The 17,900-nt window shown below is 47.4% G+C and overlaps 1 long non-coding RNA gene across 3 annotated transcripts, besides 7 other annotated features; it reads left to right on the top strand.

Annotated features, from left to right (window-relative positions):
* Nucleotides 5,107–5,256: an enhancer, noted in NCBI's record as "active region_7947". NCBI's record gives its function as "activates an Ori minimal core promoter by ATAC-STARR-seq in GM12878 lymphoblastoid cells {active_cell/tissue: GM12878}" and the evidence as "EXISTENCE:reporter gene assay evidence [ECO:0000049][PMID:35858748]".
* Nucleotides 8,620–9,819: an enhancer, noted in NCBI's record as "P300/CBP strongly-dependent group 1 enhancer chr13:100084644-100085843 (GRCh37/hg19 assembly coordinates)". NCBI's record gives its function as "activates an origin of replication core promoter dependent on BRD2, BRD4, P300/CBP, MED14 and CDK7 cofactors, with strong dependence on P300/CBP, by STARR-seq in HCT116 cells {active_cell/tissue: HCT116}" and the evidence as "EXISTENCE:reporter gene assay evidence [ECO:0000049][PMID:35650434]".
* Nucleotides 8,883–9,612: an enhancer, noted in NCBI's record as "active region_7946". NCBI's record gives its function as "activates an Ori minimal core promoter by ATAC-STARR-seq in GM12878 lymphoblastoid cells {active_cell/tissue: GM12878}" and the evidence as "EXISTENCE:reporter gene assay evidence [ECO:0000049][PMID:35858748]".
* Nucleotides 9,459–13,351, top strand: LNCARGI (lncRNA antiviral response interferon signaling inducer). 3 transcript variants are annotated; one of them, NR_197584.1, is made up of 3 exons: nucleotides 9,459–9,822; nucleotides 10,657–10,810; nucleotides 12,281–13,351. It is a non-coding gene; the product is annotated as a lncRNA antiviral response interferon signaling inducer (long non-coding RNA). The 3 variants fall into 3 exon arrangements; NR_197585.1 differs by lacking the exon at nucleotides 10,657–10,810; NR_197586.1 differs by lacking the exon at nucleotides 9,459–9,822 and having other exon boundaries at nucleotides 10,106–10,810.
* Nucleotides 10,063–10,142: an enhancer, noted in NCBI's record as "active region_7945". NCBI's record gives its function as "activates an Ori minimal core promoter by ATAC-STARR-seq in GM12878 lymphoblastoid cells {active_cell/tissue: GM12878}" and the evidence as "EXISTENCE:reporter gene assay evidence [ECO:0000049][PMID:35858748]".
* Nucleotides 10,153–10,332: an enhancer, noted in NCBI's record as "active region_7944". NCBI's record gives its function as "activates an Ori minimal core promoter by ATAC-STARR-seq in GM12878 lymphoblastoid cells {active_cell/tissue: GM12878}" and the evidence as "EXISTENCE:reporter gene assay evidence [ECO:0000049][PMID:35858748]".
* Nucleotides 15,636–15,795: an enhancer, noted in NCBI's record as "active region_7943". NCBI's record gives its function as "activates an Ori minimal core promoter by ATAC-STARR-seq in GM12878 lymphoblastoid cells {active_cell/tissue: GM12878}" and the evidence as "EXISTENCE:reporter gene assay evidence [ECO:0000049][PMID:35858748]".
* Nucleotides 16,106–16,375: an enhancer, noted in NCBI's record as "active region_7942". NCBI's record gives its function as "activates an Ori minimal core promoter by ATAC-STARR-seq in GM12878 lymphoblastoid cells {active_cell/tissue: GM12878}" and the evidence as "EXISTENCE:reporter gene assay evidence [ECO:0000049][PMID:35858748]".

Below are 17,900 nucleotides of genomic sequence, written 5' to 3'. Positions count from 1 at the left end.
AGCTTAAACAACATTTGCAGATATCTGCAGCAACCATAATCTTGCATGAAAACATCCGTGATTTCTATTGGTGATAAACTTATACTCAGTGTGTCTGTGGGTTCCCTAGGGTTGCCTAAAAAGTTCCACAAACTAGGTGGCTTAACATAATAGAAGTGTATGGTCTGACCGTTCTGGAGGCTGGAAGTCTAAGTACAACATGTCAGCAGGACCATGCTTCCTCTGCAGCCTGCAGAAGAGGAGGCTTTCTTGCCTCTTCCAGCTTGCGGCGGCCCCAGGCATTCCTTGGCTTGTGGCGGCAACCCTCCAATCTCTGCCTCCGTCTTTCTATGGCCGTCTTCACTCTGTGTCTCTCTCTTCTTATGAGGACACCAGCAGTAATAGCATATAAATTAATATCACAAAAATGTAATATAATAATATAATTCAGGACACCCTGAATTGTATCCCTGGAGCATAGATTAAGATCCTCTAGAAGTTATTTTAAGTTAATAAGTATTTCTCATGTTCATACTCTGTCCCCAGGAGAATCTCAAGGAATGTGAAGACATGAAAGATGCGCTTCCTTTCTTGGTAGAAGTTTTCTGTCAAAGTAGGATGAGATTTATACATGCAAAACAACCAAGAACACTACCCAGCAGTGTGAGACTTTGTGGCATGAATTTCAGTGTTTCATCCCTCCAGAGGCCCAGAGAAGGGAGAGACTGTGTGGATGGGAGCAGTGGGGCACGTTTTAGGAAGGCCGGGGGGCTTGGTTTGGGTTTAGGATGCTGGGAGGATGGGTCCCATCAGGACATATGTCAGGTGGTGGAAACAGCATGAGCCAAAATATTAATAAAATCTCAGAGAACGCAAGTTAAGCACCACAAAAAGATTTAACTCATGCAAAAATGAAACTTGGGAAAGTGTACCACATTTAAAATCAATGGATTGATCTAATCTCCAGAAATAAATAAGAAAACGACCTTGCATAATCAATTATGCTATTACAATTAACTATACACAAAATGAGAGAAGAAACATTTTAAATGCTTAAACATTGTGTAATTTCTACTTCATTCTACAAATATTCCAGCAAAGGCTTAATTTCCCTAGTAGATAAGGAGCTCTAGATACAAACCAATAAGAAAAAAAGAACAACAACAAAATGGTCAAAGGAAATGACCTACCTACTCACAGATACAAGGTACAAAAGGGTCTTAAACATATAAAGAGATGTGCAATCTTACTCATAAGAAAAGTACAAATTAAAATTATACTCATGTCATTTTTATCTATTAGATTGGCAAAGATTAAAACATTTGATAATATACTCTGTTGGCAACTCTTATTTCTTGCAGGGGGAGGGTGTAAATTGGTATAACCTCTTTGGCAGTCATTCTGGCAATATTTATCAAAATTGCAAATACACATACCTTTTGAAACCTTTTGAAAATCCACTTCTTTTTGTTGCAGATACCCTTGCATGAATGAATATTATTTTGAAAAGGTAATTAATTGCTCTTTGGCTTGCAAAAGGCTGGAAACAAAATGTCCACATAGCACAGCTATACAGTGAAACAATAGGCAACTGTAAAAGAAAAAAAGAATAAAGGAATTCCTTTAAAACACTACTGTAGGTGGGGGAAAAATATGTTCCTTCTACCCTTCTAGGTTCTCAGCTGGGGCCCTTGTAACAAAAGACAGATGAACAAGAGAAAAGAATACAAATTTATTTAAATGTTACCTGACATGGGAGCCTTCATAAGGAAATAGGGACCTGAAGAAATGCTTAAACCTGAGTGTTTCTAGCCTTGATTTGATAGAATGCTGAGTCATAGAAAAATGTGGTAGGACAGAAAAGGTATGAGCTAAGAGTAGTAAACTGGGGGAAAGTTAGCAAGGTCTGTGCATTCAGATTGTTCCTGGGGTCCCCCTGTCTCCCTCTCACATGAGGGTCTCCTGACCTGCTTCAGGGGAAAGTCAGGGAACCCTTTCTCTACTTACCAGTTCTCAAATTCCTTCAGCTTAAAATATTCACTATGCCAAGGTACATGTTTTGGGGTAGCATCCTGAATGCCCCTCCCTCCTACGGAATGATTTCTAAGCTATCAAGAATGAAAAAAGCAGCGGTGCGTGCACGTTTTTGCTCATAGATGCAGAAGATATCCTGCGAGGATACACGTGATGCTGGTGACACTGGTTGCCACTACCAAGACCTGGGGGAGGGGCGTGCATCCTTCTGCACCTTCCGAATTTTGGACGACATCAATGCATAACCATATGCAGTAAGCTGATCACAATTTGGTAGTACTTTTGAATTACGAATGCTGTTACTAGCTTGTCTTTGATACATTTATCCATTCAGCCAGTGGTTACGTAGCCAGCACAGAACAGGGGTCGATCCAGCACCATCACGGAAGGGCTGCTCTGGTCCGAAGTCTTCAGAGCTTCCGGTGTCCCAGAGTGGAGAATCTCGCACCATAAACCCTCCTCTGTCTAATATTCACTGACTTTCAACAGCAGTGTGTTACGATGCTATGAAAGTCTGTCTTTCTGCCCCTCGTGTCTTCAAATCCCCACTTCCCATAAGCAGGGGACTAAGAAACTAAGGGGTTGCCAGTGTAAAGAAGCGCTACCCTGTAGCACTGTAGAAGGACGGTGGGCACTGGGAGCCACTGATGTCCCCGATACGATGGAGCACGGGCAGATTTGCCCTTTGGGGACAAGATTTGACGACCAGGCAGGCACCTGCTGCAATTATTCCAGTAACGTCAAAGGTGAGTGAAAAGCAAACCCGTGTAGAAGAAGCTGTAGCAGCTGTCAATCCCAGGTTATCTTAATTATGCCTCCCTGGACAGAACTGGTAAGTGGTAACTGGCTCTCTCCTGCAGAAATGAATCAAGCCAGTGCCACACTTGAGTAGGTGCACTTGAGTAGGAACATTTGCGCAGTCCTTCACATTGCAGAGACTTGCTTGCATGGTTATCATGCCAGTTCTGCTGTTTTGGCCAAAGGTGCACAGTTCTGTCCCACTTTGTCCTGTCAAAAGCCTCTTGTCCTCGTGCTGTCAGCCTCACCTCTGATTCCAGCCCTGGGGAGGGTGAACAGCTCCAACAAGTCTCAGCTCAAGCGAGCGCAGCTTGTCTGTTGCGTCCCACACGTGGTAGGCTGAAAAATGGCTCCCCAAAGGTAAGTCCACATCATAGTCCATGGATCCTGTAAATGTGGCCTTATTTCGGGAAAAGGTCTTTGCAGATGTGACTAAGGACCTTTGGATGAGGAGAGCGTCCCGTCTTATTGCCAGATAAGCCCTGGATGTCATCACAAGAGTTGTTTTAAGAGAGAGGCAGAGGAAGATGTGAGGACACACAGAGGAGAAGGTGATGTGAAGATGAGGTAGAGGTCAGAGTGACAAGCCCACGTGGCCACAAGCTTAGCTGGAGGAGGTCAGGAAGGATCCTCCCCTAGAGCCCTTGGAAGAGGGCAACAAGTATCTGCAATAAATATGGGAATGCAGGTATCTTTTCAAGATACTGATTTTGTTGTCCTTGGATATATACCTAGTAGTGAGATTGCCAGATCATATCCATTCTATTTTTCATTTTTTGGGAACCTCCATACTGCTTTCCATTATGGCTGTACAAATTTACGTTTCCACCAAGAGTGTGCAAGGGTTCCCTTTTTGTCCACATCCTCACCAACACATCTTTCATCTCTTTGGTAATAGCCTTTCTAACAGGTGTGAGGTGGTGCTCCCTGTGGCTTTAATTTGCATTGCTCTAATGATTAGTGATGTTGAACAATTTTTCATAGACCTGTTGGCCATTTGTATGCTTTCTTTTGATAAATGTTTATTCAGGTCCTTGGCCCATTTTTCAAATCATATTATTTCTTTTCTTACTATTGAGTTGTTTGGGTTCCGAATATATTTTGGATGTTAACCCCTTATCAGATGCATGGGTTTACAATATTTTTTCCTATTCTGTAGGCTATCTCTTCTCTCTGTTGTTTCCTTTCCTCCACAGAAGCCTTTTAATTGGATGCAGTTTTGTTTATCTATTTCCACTGTTGTTTCCTGTGCTTTTGGGGTTATATCCAAGAAATCATTGCCCAGACTAACATCATAAAGATTTCCCCCTATATTTTCTTCTAGTACTTTTACAGCTTCCAGGTCTTATGTTTCAGTCTTTAATCCATTTTGAGTTGATTTTTGTATATGGTGTGAGATAAGAGGCATTTCATTCTTCTGCATGTGGATATTAAGGGAATTTTTATAAATGGAAGATTAAAGGACTAGCCAACCAGAAGTGTGATTATGATCACTATTAACTGGACAAAGTGACACCTATGACTTTATTCTTTTCCCATATTCTAGACTAGGGTTTATTACACCAAGGCCCATTAAAAATGCTTGGCAGAGTGGAGGGAGGAAGGTGGTGCCTTGTCACATGTCCTTCGGGAATTAAATTTGGTGATGTTTTCAAGTCCATGATAATCTTAAAAAATGAGTAGGTCTTTTTTTGGACCAACTGGATGGTGCGTTCTAGGGAAGCACGATGCTTGCAGGGTCAGGCCCGTGTTGTGTTGATGGTGGGATGTGCCTGCCGATCTCCTGCCCTTGCAGGGTTTTATTTTTAATGCAGTTTCTCAAACTGAAGTCTCCTTTTATTTTTTTATTTTTATTTTTTTTAATTCACAAGAAAGTATTTTCTTTCAAAGGGGCCTGCATGGATCTTGCGTTTAAGACAGGCCACTCTAACCATACCTGGTGGTACTCGTGCAGAGGGTAAGTGGCTCAGAGAGTGGGCCTGGCCTGGGGTTAAGTCCTATACCCATTTCCTCTGTGCTGCGTGACTCTGGACCGGCAACTCAACCTCTCTGAGCTGTGGCTCTCTGCTCTTTACATGGCAATGCTAACAATAGTTACACAATAGCGTTGTCATAAATATTTCATGAGATGGGGTTTGGAAAGGGCTTCCTTAGCACAGCGCCCGCTATATAGCTAATGTTATATTATGCTCATGAATACCAGTCAGCCAGCAGAAAGCGTGGGGGTAACCACATCTGCGGCGGGGGCTGACATCACAGCAAGGAAACTGTCAGCGCCCGGGCCAGTCACCGCGTCATGCTCCCTTCCCACCACAAGGAGGCGCAGGCACGAGTTTGATTTATTTTATGAGCAAGAACCCAGAGCGTCCGCTGGGGGGCGCAGGTTTTGCGTCCGCAGCAGGCGGCGCTCCTAGGCGTCTTGGGGTCCGCCTTCCTGGAGCCCCAGGAACAGGGTTCTAAAGTCCAGACTGTCATCGGAAGCATCAATAATAAAAATAGCTGTAATTTATTGCATATCTGCTGGGCTCTGAGTGAAGCTCTGTGTGTGTGTGCGTGTGTCTGTGGGTCTGTGTGTGTGTGTGTGTGTGTCTATGTGTGTATCTATGTGTGTGCGTGTGACTGTGTGTCTGTGTGTTTGTGTGTCTGTGCGTGGCTCTGTGTGTGTTTGTGTGTGTCTGTGTGTGAGTGTGCATGTTTGTGTGTGTCTGTGTGTGTGTGCACACATGTGTGCATGCAAGCACCTGTGGGTACATACATGCATATATACAGACACACATCATATGTACATATGCCCATATAATATATTCTAGGTATTTAGTATATTTCAGAGTGGAGTGCACAGCATAAACACGATGAAGAAAAATTGCACAGAGAAGCAGATATTCTCAGGACCAAAATACTTTATTTACTTATTTATTTATTGAGACAGTCTCATTCTGTCGCCCAGGCTGGAGTGCAGTGGCGTGATCACAGCTCACTGCAGCCTCAACCTCCTGGGCCCAAGCAATCTTTCCACCGCAGCCTCCTGAGTAGCAGGGACTACAGTCACATGCCACTAAGCCTGGCTAATTTATTTATTTAGTAGAGACAAGGTCTAGTTTTGTAGCCCAGACTGGTCTTGAATTCCTGGGCTCCAGTGATCCTCCTGCCTCAGCCTCCCAAAGTGTGGGATTACAGGTGTGAGTCACCGCACCCAGCCTTGAGAAATTCTTTTCTCTGAATTATCAACCTGGGTTAAAAGGTACTCATTGTCAGCTGAGAGGCCGAAGTATCCAGGCAGCTTTCACAATAGTGTTTCTGGTGCAGGAGGAGATTTTTATTGTTCACAGGGCAGAAGTGTGAGACAGGACCTGGTATATACAGGTACTTCATCTGTTGTAAGATAAAAAGCTATTAAATGTAGCTCTGCTATAAAGAAATTCTTTTTCTTGGAGCCTTGAGAAGCCAAGCGGTTACTCTAAAATGCTCTGGGACAATTATCATGGAGAGCTCAAGGCAGTTGAGGAACACAGACTCTGTGGTCTTGACTATATTTATTTTCTTCTTTGTGTTTGCAAACATGTGCCATGCTTTCTACAAGAGCATGAATTATTATAGTTTAAAGATTCACATTCATCAAAGCCAGTCCCAGCTGAGGCAGATACAGGTGAGTGATACACGATGGGGTGCATGCTGAGGTCAGGGAATCCATTCATCAGCACGTTTGTATTCAGATCTCAGTGTGTGCATAGCACTGCGCTTGGTGAGGAGGGGAGACAGGAGGCGGAGCCACAGTCCTGCCATCAAGGGGGAGGAAAGGGATGGAAGGGAAGGGACCTTTAGCATTTATTGTACCCCAGACACAGTTTATACACATGTGACTCCCTTAATATTCACAAAGGACCTCTGAGGAGCTGTTATTATGATCCTCATCCTGCAGAGGAGCAAACTGAAGCCCAGAATGGGAAGCTACTCTGCCAGGTAAGAGCAAAACCTGCACCTCCGGAATCCCTACCTGCCCTGCTCTGCCAGGCTTAGGCCCACGAAGGATTCATTAACAATGTCAGGCAGGCAGTGTGGACCATGGTAGGGGAAATGCCCCAATGGGAAGGATAAAGGAGTTTTGGCCGTCAGTGACTCTTATTTGGGAAACCAAGAAATTGCCTGGACTTTCCCAAAGGTACAGGGAGGTTTGGACGTGTTAAACTGGAGCCCACATGGTGGCGCGCACCTGTTGTCCCAGTGACTGAGCTGGGCTTGAGCCCAGGAGGTTGAGGCTGCAGTGAACCATGGTCCTGCCACTGCACTCCAGCCTGGGCAACAGATTGAGACCCTGTCTCAAAATAAAAATAAAAATAAAAATAAAAAAAGTGGAGCCCAGCTGGAGGCAGAGACAGGCCCAGCAATGAAGAAACAGTGAGCTGAGAGGGGTGGAGAGAATGGGGTCCCTGCATGCTTGCCAGAGTTCCCCAAGGCATTTCCAGTTAATAAGTAAAATGTATTTAAAATGTGAAGACTGGCTGCCAATCCCTCACGGAACTCCCAGACTGGACTTACTTTCATCATCCTCTTGGTGCTGTTGAGCCAGGTGCGTTTCTAACAGCCCTGCTGAAAGACAGCCAATGGCGTAAGACTTTTCTTTTTTCACATAAAAACCCACTAAGCTTCCCGCAGACATCAGGCCTTTCACCTGACTCAGGGCCCGCGGTTATACCTGTGTAGACCTACGTTAGCAAACAGCGGCTTATCGGAACTCGGGCCCTCTGACATCAGCCAGGAAGGAGCAGGCTATGCTGCTGGGAAGTGCAGGCCTGAAAGGCTGTTTTTCTTACTGAGTGAGCAGTAAGGTCACCCAGATAACCCACTCCTGAGTCACGAGGCCTTTCTGACCTATGACTCTGGAGGGCAGCTCTGTTTATTTCTTCTTTGTGGTGACAATGTGGGTGTCACCTTGAGGAGCCCATTGAAGAAGTTCATTGAGTGAGAAGACTCGGCCGGGTCTCCGGGGCCGCTGTAACAGACTCAGGGCTGCAGTAACAGACTCAGGCCACCGTAGCAGACTTGGGGCCTCTGACGACAGAAATGTATTTCCTCGCCGTCTGGAAGCTGGGAGGACCTGGTTCAAGGTGCGGGCAGGGCTGCTTTCCCCTGAGCCTCTCCACAGTGTCTTCCACCAGGGGCTTCACGTGGTCTTCCCTCTGTGTGCGTCTGTGTTCTAATCACCTCTTCTTGTAGGGACACGAGTCATGGGACCTTTTTTAATCATAATCACCTCTTTAAAGATCCTGTCTCCAAATACAGTCCCATTCTGAGGTACTGGAGGTTAGGACTTCAACCTACAAATATGTGGGGGTGCAGTATGCCCCTGACTTCGCTGGAAGTGATGGAGGTGAAGTTGGTCAATGGTTTCCAATGCTCTGCTCTCCCTACACTGATCGGGGACTGGCCTCTGTCAGGCCTTGTGAGGTGCCTGTGCCCACCCACTGTGAGCCAAAGATGGAGGCTCCCAGAGAAGATAGTCCCAGCCCTCCCCCACTAGCCTGGAACCCATCCTTCCAGCTCAGATCACACTCTGAGGAAAGAGATCCCTAATCCAGGCAGCTCAGACACCTGCTAGGATTCTCCAGACCCCCGCGAGAGCGCACCCTGTGGTCCCGGGAGAGGGCAGAGTAAGCCATACCTCAACAGCACTCCACCTGCTCAATGGCATGAAACAGTTCCACATCTGCTGGACCTGGAGGAGGTGTCTTCCTAGGTCACCTACATGCAGGGCACCATGGCGATTTGGAGATACAAGTGCCACACACAGAGACAGAGCCACGGCCTGCCTTATCCAGCTGCCCCCAGCATTTTTTAAAAAATTAGACAGGGTCTCACTCTATTGCCCAGGCTAGAGTGCAGTGGTGCAATCACTGCTCACTACAGCCTTGCGCTTCTGGGCTCAGGTGATCCTCCTACTTCAGCCTCCAGAGTAGCTGGGACTACAGATGTGCATCACCATGCCCAGCTAATTAAAAACAATTTCTTTGTCAAGACAGGGTCTCAATACAATGTCCAGGCTGGTCTCAAACTCCTGGCCTCAAGCAGTCCTCCTGCCTCGGCCTCCCAAAGTCCTGGGATTACAGGTATGAGACACTGTGCTGGGCCCCTGTCAATTTTGGAAGGATCCAGTTGTGTTTCTTCATTCATTTAACACATATTTGTAGAAAGCAAATCCGTGCCAGGCATAGATGCTTGAGATTCATTAGCCAACGAAACAGAAAACAACCTGTGACCTCATGGAGCCTCCATCCCTAGCGGGACGGGTACAGCAGGGGCTTCACCCAGAGAGGCTTCCTGTGAAAACGCCCACTGGGTCCTGGGGAACTGGGAATCCCCGGCCGCTTCTGCACAGGGCTCCTGGGTGGTTTCCTGTTTCGGCTCCACAGCCGGGGGAAGTTTCTGCTGTTTGCTCCTCTGCACTCTAAGCGGAGATGTGCACACTCGCGAGCAGGGATTTTTCTGGTTCAGGAAAGTCCTGCGTCCTTGGGCGCACTTTCACAAGTGTGAGAAAGCCAGTTCAAATGTGACTTCCCGTGAGAAACCCTGCCTGGCCTCCCGCCCTCCCCGGCACTCTCAGCATGAATCATGCTGCGTTGTCACTATTGTCTTGCTCATCTGTGCCTGTCGCATTCCCTGAGTTCCTCCTGGCGGGGTCTCGGCCTTGTTCATCTTTGGACCTGGTGGCCAGCACAGAGAATGTGCTCAATGAATGTTTGCTGGATTGAATGACACACCCTCAGGTCCAAGTGGGCCATGCCCCTCTGCCTGCAGCCTGGTGGCCGTCAGGGTCAGGGCTCCCATGCTTTCTGATACCCGGGAGGATGGGTCTCTGACCATGGGATTTTGAAATAGCAATGAGCCTGAATAACATTTTGAGATACTGGCAACAACGAAAGTGTGGAATGAAACTTCCCGTTATTTCTGCTGGCTAACACTAAGTGGTTGCCACCTATGTTCATAATACAAGGAACTGCTCAGTTTCAACCAGAGGTGAGTGAAAACAGATGTCATTGTTTTCCCATGTCAGTTCATGAGCCCTCTGGGTTGTATTCTCAGGTCGCTCGAGGGTCCACTTGTGCTCCATTTAGAACCTCCGGACTCTACCGCTCATCCCCCAAGTTAGCCTGTCACCTTTCAACTCCCAGGGGCTCAGGTGTCAGGGCCTTCGCGTTGCACCTTAGCCTTGGTGTAAGTCACGTGCCCTCAGCTCCTGCCCCTCTCCCTGAGTGACGTCCTCTCTACAGACAGAACTGGGCACTTTCTCCTGCTCCCCAGTGGACCCGAGGCACGAAAGCCTCAGCAAGCAGGGAGTGACAGGCACAGACCACAGCAACCACCCGCAGCCGGAGCAGAGTTCGCGCTCTCCCAGGGGCCCTCCTTGGTGGCTTTGGGGGGGCCTCAATGCCAGGGTTTGCATCTTTTCTTTTCTTTCTTTTTTTTTTTTTTTTTTTTGAGACGGAGTCTCGCTCTGTCGCCCAGGCTGGAGTGCAGTGGTGCGATCTCAGCTCACTGCAAGCTCCGCCTCCCAGGTTCACACCATTCTCCTGCCTCCGCCTCCTGAGTAGCTGGGACTACAGGCGCCCGCCACTACGCCCGGCTAATTTTTTGTATTTTTAGTAGAGACAGGGTTTCACCGTGTTAGCCAGGATGGTCTCGATCTCCTGACCTTGTGATCCGCCCGCCTCGGCCTCCCAAAGTGCTGGGATTACAGGCGTGAGCCACCGCGCCCGGCCGCATCTTTTCTTTTTCTCCTTTTTCCCAACTACTGCTGTGCTTTCTGGCTTTGTGCCTTCCTTCTTTGCTTCCTCTCCCATCACTCCACAGACAAGGAGGCTCTGTCCAAGCTCCTGTCCTGGCTCGCTCAGCCCAGCCTTCAGGTTCTCAGCCCAACACGAGGGTCTCCTTGGGTAGTCAGCTCAATCATTTCAAGCTATTAATCAACGGACTTCTCCTGAATGCATCCAGACCTCTCCTCAAGGTTAGTTTTGATGAATACAATTTTCTCCATCTTGTTACAACAGGGTCAACGGTTCTTTGAAGAATCTTGCTCCTTTGGGACTTTTTTCCCACGGATGTGCCCTCTTTGGGGGCAAAGACATGATCCATATCTATCACCATCTCCTCTTTTTCTGCAATCACTGGACACCTGTTCATTTGGGGCAACCTAGGGCAGCCCAGAGTCCCTGTGGAGTCCTTATCTCATCGGGACGCTGGGTGGGACACGAGTAGTTTATGACAAACAGGTTTTTCTGACAAACGCAAGCAGGAGGAATCATTAGGGAATTGATAATGTAATTCACTGCACTGAGTCGTACAGGCATCTCAATAGACACCCCAAAAAGCATTTGGCGAATGTGAATATTGTTGATGAAACTCCTAGCAATCCAGGCTCAGAACACCTCATTCCTAACTTGGTAAGGGTGGCTACAGAGACTCTCAGAGATTAAGACATATAACAGCGAAATCTAAGAGAACAGGGGTGCCTGCCATCACTGCTTCTCTCCAACCTTGTAATGTGGGTCATTGTCAATGTAGTAAAGTCAGAAAAACGGGCACGAATACTAAAGTGAACAAAACCAAAATTGTCACCATTCCAGATGATGTGACAATATGCCTAGAAAATCCAAGACATCAAATGAAAACCTAATCTGAGAGCTTGGTGACATGGTTGGATACAAGATTGCCATACAAAAATCAATGGCTCTCACATCCGTTAGGATGGCTATTGTCAAAACAAAATCACAAGTGTTGGTGAGGAGGGGCAGAAATCAGAACCCCTGTGCGCTGTTCGTGCGAATGTAAAACAGTGCGGCCTCTATGGAAAACACTATGGTGGCTCCTCAGAAAATTAAGTCTAGAATCACCTTAGGACCTGGCAATTCCACTTCTGGGTATGTATCTAAAAGAATTGAAAGCAGGGACTTGAAGAGAGATTTACACAATCATGTTCACGGCAGCATTATTCACCTTAGCTGAAAGGTGGACGCAACCCAAGTGTTCATCAACAGATGGATGGATAAAGAAAACGTGATATATGCTTACATCAGAATATGATTCGGCCTTCAAAAAGAGGGAAATCCTGACATATTCTACAACAGGATGACCCTTGAGGATGTTATGCCAAGTGAAATAAGCCAATCATGAAAGGATAAACACTATATGAATCCTCTTGTATGAGGTCCCTAGAGTCATCAAATTCTTAGAAAGTAGAATGGGGGGTGCCAGGGGCTGGGGGAGGGGAAATGGGGAGTCAGTGTTTCGTGGGTACAGAGTTTCTGTTTGGGAGGAAGATAAAGTTCTGGAGATGGATGGTGGTGATGGTTACACAACAATGTGAATGTATTTAATGCTATGTAATCATGTTTAAATGGTAAATTTTACATTATATGTATTTTACCACAATACAAACATCAATGATTTTTCAAAAACCATTTTTGTTTTGAGACAGGCTCTTGCTCCGTCGCCCAGGCTGAAGTGCAGTGGAGCGATCACGATCACGGTTCGCTGCAGCTTCAAACTCCTGAGCTCAAACGATCCTCCCCGCTCAGCCTCCCAAGTAGCTGGGACTACTGGCACATGCCACCACCCCTGGCTGAAAATCACTCATTTTTAATGAGAAAATGAAGCGGGAAAGGAAGCTACTCACAACAGCAACAAGATCCGTACTATAACCAAGAATGAAACCAGAATATAGAGTTTTTGTGATTAGAACGGGCAAATAAAAGAACAAAGCTGAGTGGAGAGTCCAGAATTCTCAGCCACTCCACTCCTAAGAATCTGCCGTTTTTAAAAAGTGGACATGTGCACAAAGGTATACGTACAAAGAGGCTCAGAAATAACATTTGCAAGGGCAAAAACATTGAGGCCAATGCGAGTTTTTATCAACAGGAGAATGGTTAAATGAATAATGTTATATCACATTTGCAGTGTTTTATTTAGAAAGGAAGCATTGCTGTGAGTTCTGACATGGAATGATCTCGGTGGTATATTGAAAAGCAAGTTCTAATATAATTCCTCAAGCATAAAAAAAACTATATGTTGATATATTTATGGATAGAGGTAATTGCATAGAAAAATGCCTGGAAAGATACATGTCAAACCATTATTGTGGTTAGTTCTGGGGGCCATTTCCTTTAGAAATTTTCTATGAGAATGGCCGGGTGCGGTGGCTCATGCCTGTAATCCTAGCACTTTGGGAGGCCGAGGCGGGTGGATCACAAGGTCAGGAGATCGAGCCCATCCTGGCTAATACGGTGAAACCCCATCTCTACTAAAAATACAACAAATTAGCCGGGCGTGGTGGCGGGCGCCTGTGGTCCCAGCTACTCGGGAGGCTGAAGCAGGAGAATGGCGTGAACCTGGGAGGCGGAGCTTGCAGTGAGCTGAGATTGCGCCACTGCACTCCAGCCTGGGCGACAGAGCCAGACTCCGTCTCAAAAAAAAAAGAAATTTTCTATGACAATGTATTCATGTAGTACTTGTCAATTATTTTCTTTTTAAATAAAATAGTAAGACCCAGGCTTCTTAGTGCTGTGACAAGCTGGCCTTGTCTCTGTCTCCAGCAGGGTGGCTAAGGGTTTCAGATGGCACCGCACCATGGTGTTTGCTCCAGCCCATCTCCTTGGGATCAGTGTTAGTGTGGAGGATGTGAGGGACCATAGCTGTGACCTCCCGGGTGGGCTTCCAGAAGAGGAGGTCTGGTGAGACCGCTTGGGGCAGGACCAGATATTCCACTCCCTGGAAAGGAAGGCATGGGATTCTGCCTCGTGGCACAAGCCAGTCAGTTACTTTAGGTGCCTAATAACCATTTAGCACGGTCGTCCTTGACTTTGATGTTGGCTGCACATTGGAATCACCTGGGAGGGTTAAACACTACTGATGCCTGGCCTGCACATGGAGATTCTCATTTATTTGCTCCAAGAGTGGCCCTGGCATTGGGATTCTTAAAAGTTCTCTGGGCGATGCTCTAAGGACCGCTCTCCTGAACCCCCAGAGTGCTATCCGGTGTGTCGATTGCAACTTTTGCAATTGATATTTGAAACCAAATAGGAGAATTGTAAAGAATATTTGACCCAACTGGTTTCTGCTCATCATTCTCTCCCACTGGGATCTTTCTGATCTGATCCGTTTTGCCATCCAGTGCATTCGGGCTAGGACAGCCATGCTTCTGTAGGGACGTCTTTCCGAGGTCTATATCCATAAGGAGATGCATCTCTGGGTTTCCTAGACATGGAAGCCTCACCCGAGCCAATCTTCCTTTTAGTTGTGTCCTTGTAGGAAGAAATGGCTTCTATATGACTAAAAATATCTTCCCCCCATTGATAAAAAACCAAGTCCTGGGAATACCATTCAGCAAAATAAAAAGAAACAAACTACTCATAGGAGCATGCTCCAATGTAAACCGTGAAAACATCGTGCTCAGCGAAAGAAGCCAGACACCAGAGACCACGTATTGTATGAGTCCATAATAGGAGGTGTCCAGAAAAGGCAAATCCATAGAGAGAGAAAGTGGATCAGAGGTTGATTGGGGCTAGGGTGGAACCGAGAATAACTGCAAAAGGACACAGGGCTCTTTTTCAGTGACTGGAAAGTTCTAGAACTGGATTGTGGTAATGCTGCACAACTCGGAATTAACTAGAAATTATTGAATCACACTGGAAAAGGTGAGTCCTGTGGTACATAGGACTCACTCTTTTCACCTTCACTTGAAAAGGATGAGTCCTATGGGCTCCTGGCCTCCCCAGGGCTGTGCAATGCCCAGGGATGGCAGATGCAAAACCTGTGACGCTTGTTCTCCAGAGGGAGGCTGAGGCACACCACTTGCTGGCTCCGGCTGCTTCCTGGCGGTTTCCAAGAAGAAAGAGTGTGCCCTGAGAGGAAGTGGGGCTCCATGCTGAAACAGCCCCATGATTGGCTAGCACAGGGGAAAACTCTCAAACTATTTTTCATGGAGTGACCAGAAGGGAGAGAGCTGTTCAATTCCTGCTGAAAACTGACTCCCTGCCCTCGCTCCTCCCTTTCATCCTCCCCTCCATCCTCCCTTCCATCCTCTTCTCCCTCCTCTTCTCTATCTTCCCCCCTTCACCCTCCCCTCCGTCCTCCCTTCCATTGTCTTCTCCCTCCTCTTCTCTATCCTCCCCCCCACCCTCCCCTCCATCCTCCCTTCCATCTCTTCTCCCTCCTCTTCTCTATCCTCCCCTCCCTCCTCCCTTTCACCCTCTCCTCCATCCTGCCCTCTCTCCTCCCTCCCACCCTGCCCTCCCTCCCACCCTACCCTCCGTCCTCCCTTCCACCCTCCTCCCTTCACCCTACTCCCCCCTTCCACCCTCTCCTCCCTCCTCCCCTCCACCCTCCCCTCTCCTCCCTTCCACCCTCCCCTCTCTCCTCCCTCCTCCCCTTCATTCTCCCCTCCCTCGTCCCTTCCACCCTCTCCTCCCTCCTCTCTTCCATCCTCTCCTCCACCGTCTCCCCTCTCCCCTGCATCCTCTCTTCTCTCCTCCCTTCTCTCTTCCCCTCCCACCTTCCCCTCATCTCTCCTGCATCCTCCCCTCCCTTCCCCTCCCTTCCCCTCCCTGCTGGCTGGAGGAATGTGCTGGGCATGACTCCTGCTGGACCTTGTGCTGGAAGGTGGTAGAAGCAGGGAGCAAAACCAACTTGGCCTCGCCTTCAGAGCTCGCAGCTCGCTGAGGGAGAGACAGATTAACCTCATGATGACACACATCCAAGCCTGAGTTGAACACATATGGTGTCTGAAGGACGAGCCTGCCATGTAACCCGGGGTGTAATTTACAGCGAGGTCCTTGAAATGCTCTTGGCCAAGGGGATACTGAGGTGGAGACTTGCAAGGCAAGAGGGGCCCCCAGGTGAGGAGAGAAGAGGAGAGCGGGCAGCATGGCAGCAGAAAGGCCATAGGCCACCCAGTGGCAGGAGAGGGGTGCAGGGCTGGGTGTGGAGAGGGCAGGGGAGAAGGGAGTGGAGGAATGAGGGGGGAGTCTGGCCCCTCCCCAAGCAATCTGCATGGCCTTTTCCTCTCCCACCAAAGGCAGCCCCCAGAGAAACACACTCCAAGTAAAAACAGTAGCTGCTGCAGGGACAGCCTCAAGAGAGCCCGTTCCCCATCCCGCCTGCGGGTCAGAGATGACCAATCTGCCGTTGGTGGGTCTTGTCCTCAGACACGGGAAGGCGTTGCTGAGGTGTGGACTGGGGTCTGCCCTGACCTCATTTAGGTCAACTATGGGCTGGGAGCAGCTCGTGACTCTGAGCTGAGTGACCAGGGACCTTAGATCCAGAGGGGCAAGGTCACCCCTCCCAGGGCTCTGGGGTGGACTTGGGGTTGTGGCTGCATTTGGGGTGTAGGGATCCAGGCCAGAGGGCTAAGCCCTGGTTTCGATGAGCTGGAGAAGAGCCTGGAAAAGTTTCTGGCCGGGGGATTGGGTAGGGGCCTGCTTGGGAACTGCCCCCTGAAAAACCCCACTGGGCCTTGATTTTGAGACAAGCAGGTGTTCTGAGAACTTCTTCCTCCCGCGGCCGCCCCTCCTCCAGGCCCTCTATTTATAGCGCTTCCTCTCTTGAGCTCCGCGAGAAAAGTGCTCTTGAAACACACAGAAGAGAAAAATTCTGAAAAATGTCAAACCACAGGTCCTTTCCCCTCTCTTCCGTTAAGATCTAGGTTTGTACTATTCCTGGTTGACCCCAGAGTAGACAAGGTCAAATGGGGCATCCTTGGGTTATCACAGTGGCGTTCAGAAGGTGCTGGCTGAGTCCTGGCTCCTCTCTGCAGCCTGTCTGGGACTAACTCAAGGGGCAGGGAACAGGAGACCCTTTTCCACCAAGAAAATATGGGGCCATGAAGGTCTAGCCTGATCTAGCACGTGAGTTTGGAGAGATCAACAGCAAAGATGGTGAGATGGGAGTTGGAAAATATCAGACTCTGAATTGGAAGCCTGATGCCATGTTCTAGTTCAAGCTCTGTTTGGGATATCACTTCTGTCTCTGAGTATATTTCCCTCTCTGTAAATTAAAAGAGTTGGACTAGACCCGTGTTTTACAAACTTTTAAAACACAGAGCACACACAACGGAAACAGAAGTCTTATGAAACAGTATTTGTCCTTATTACGATGTATTTTCTTTTCTGTTCTGTTTCCTTTTCTCTTCTATCTCATTTTTAAAAAGTTCTGATCATGGCCCACTAAAATGATCTCGAAACCCACAATAAATTATTAAAGTAGTAAATTTTATGTATATTTTATCACAATTAAAACAATTTTTTTTTCTTGAGACAGGGTCCTGCTCTGTCTGTCACCCAGGCTGGAGTGCAGTGGCAGTCATGGCTCACTGCAGCCTCCATCTCCCAGGCTCAAGCAATCTTCCAGCCTCAGCCTCCTGAGTAGCTAGGACTACAGGCATGCACCACCACACTCAGCCAATTTTTAAATTATTTGTAGAGATGGGGTCTCACTGTGTTGCCCAGGCTGGTCTCAAACTCCTGAGCTCAAGGGATCCTCCTGCTTTGGCCTCCCAAAGTACTGGGATTACAGGCATGAGCCACCTTGCCTGGCCCAAAACAGTTTTTTTTTTTAAACCAACTAATTGTGGATTTTAACCCAATGGTTGAAAAATACCAGACTACACATATTTAAGTTCTCCTCCAATTATTTTTAAAAACCTAATTGTTCAATCACAGAGGAAAAGTGCCGCTTTGACAAAACATTGATCATTTTAAATTTTATTTTCAGTTTTTAAAAAAATCAAGTTTTAAAATGTTTTCTTTTTAAAAAATCAACCAAGGATAGTTTCAACTGAAGCTAAACCAAAATACCCTGTGGCCCAGCATTCCCCAATCTGGGTACATCCTAAAGAAAATGAGTATGTAAGTTCACCAAATGATGTGTACAGAAATGTTCACAGCAGCACTGTTTGTAATAGCCCCGCATGAAATACAACTCATGTTTATCAAAAGGAGAATAACTGTAATCCCAACACTTTGGGAGGCTGAAGCTGGCAGATTGCCTGAGCTCAGAAGTTTGAGACCTGCCTGGCCAACATGGCGTAACGCTGTCTCTACCAA

The sequence above is a fragment of the Homo sapiens genome, chromosome 13 (assembly GCF_000001405.40).
Source record: "Homo sapiens chromosome 13, GRCh38.p14 Primary Assembly".
Lineage (NCBI taxonomy): Eukaryota > Metazoa > Chordata > Mammalia > Primates > Hominidae > Homo > Homo sapiens.
Note: the sequence above shows the minus strand (reverse complement) of the source record. Positions and strands in the feature narration are given on the sequence as shown.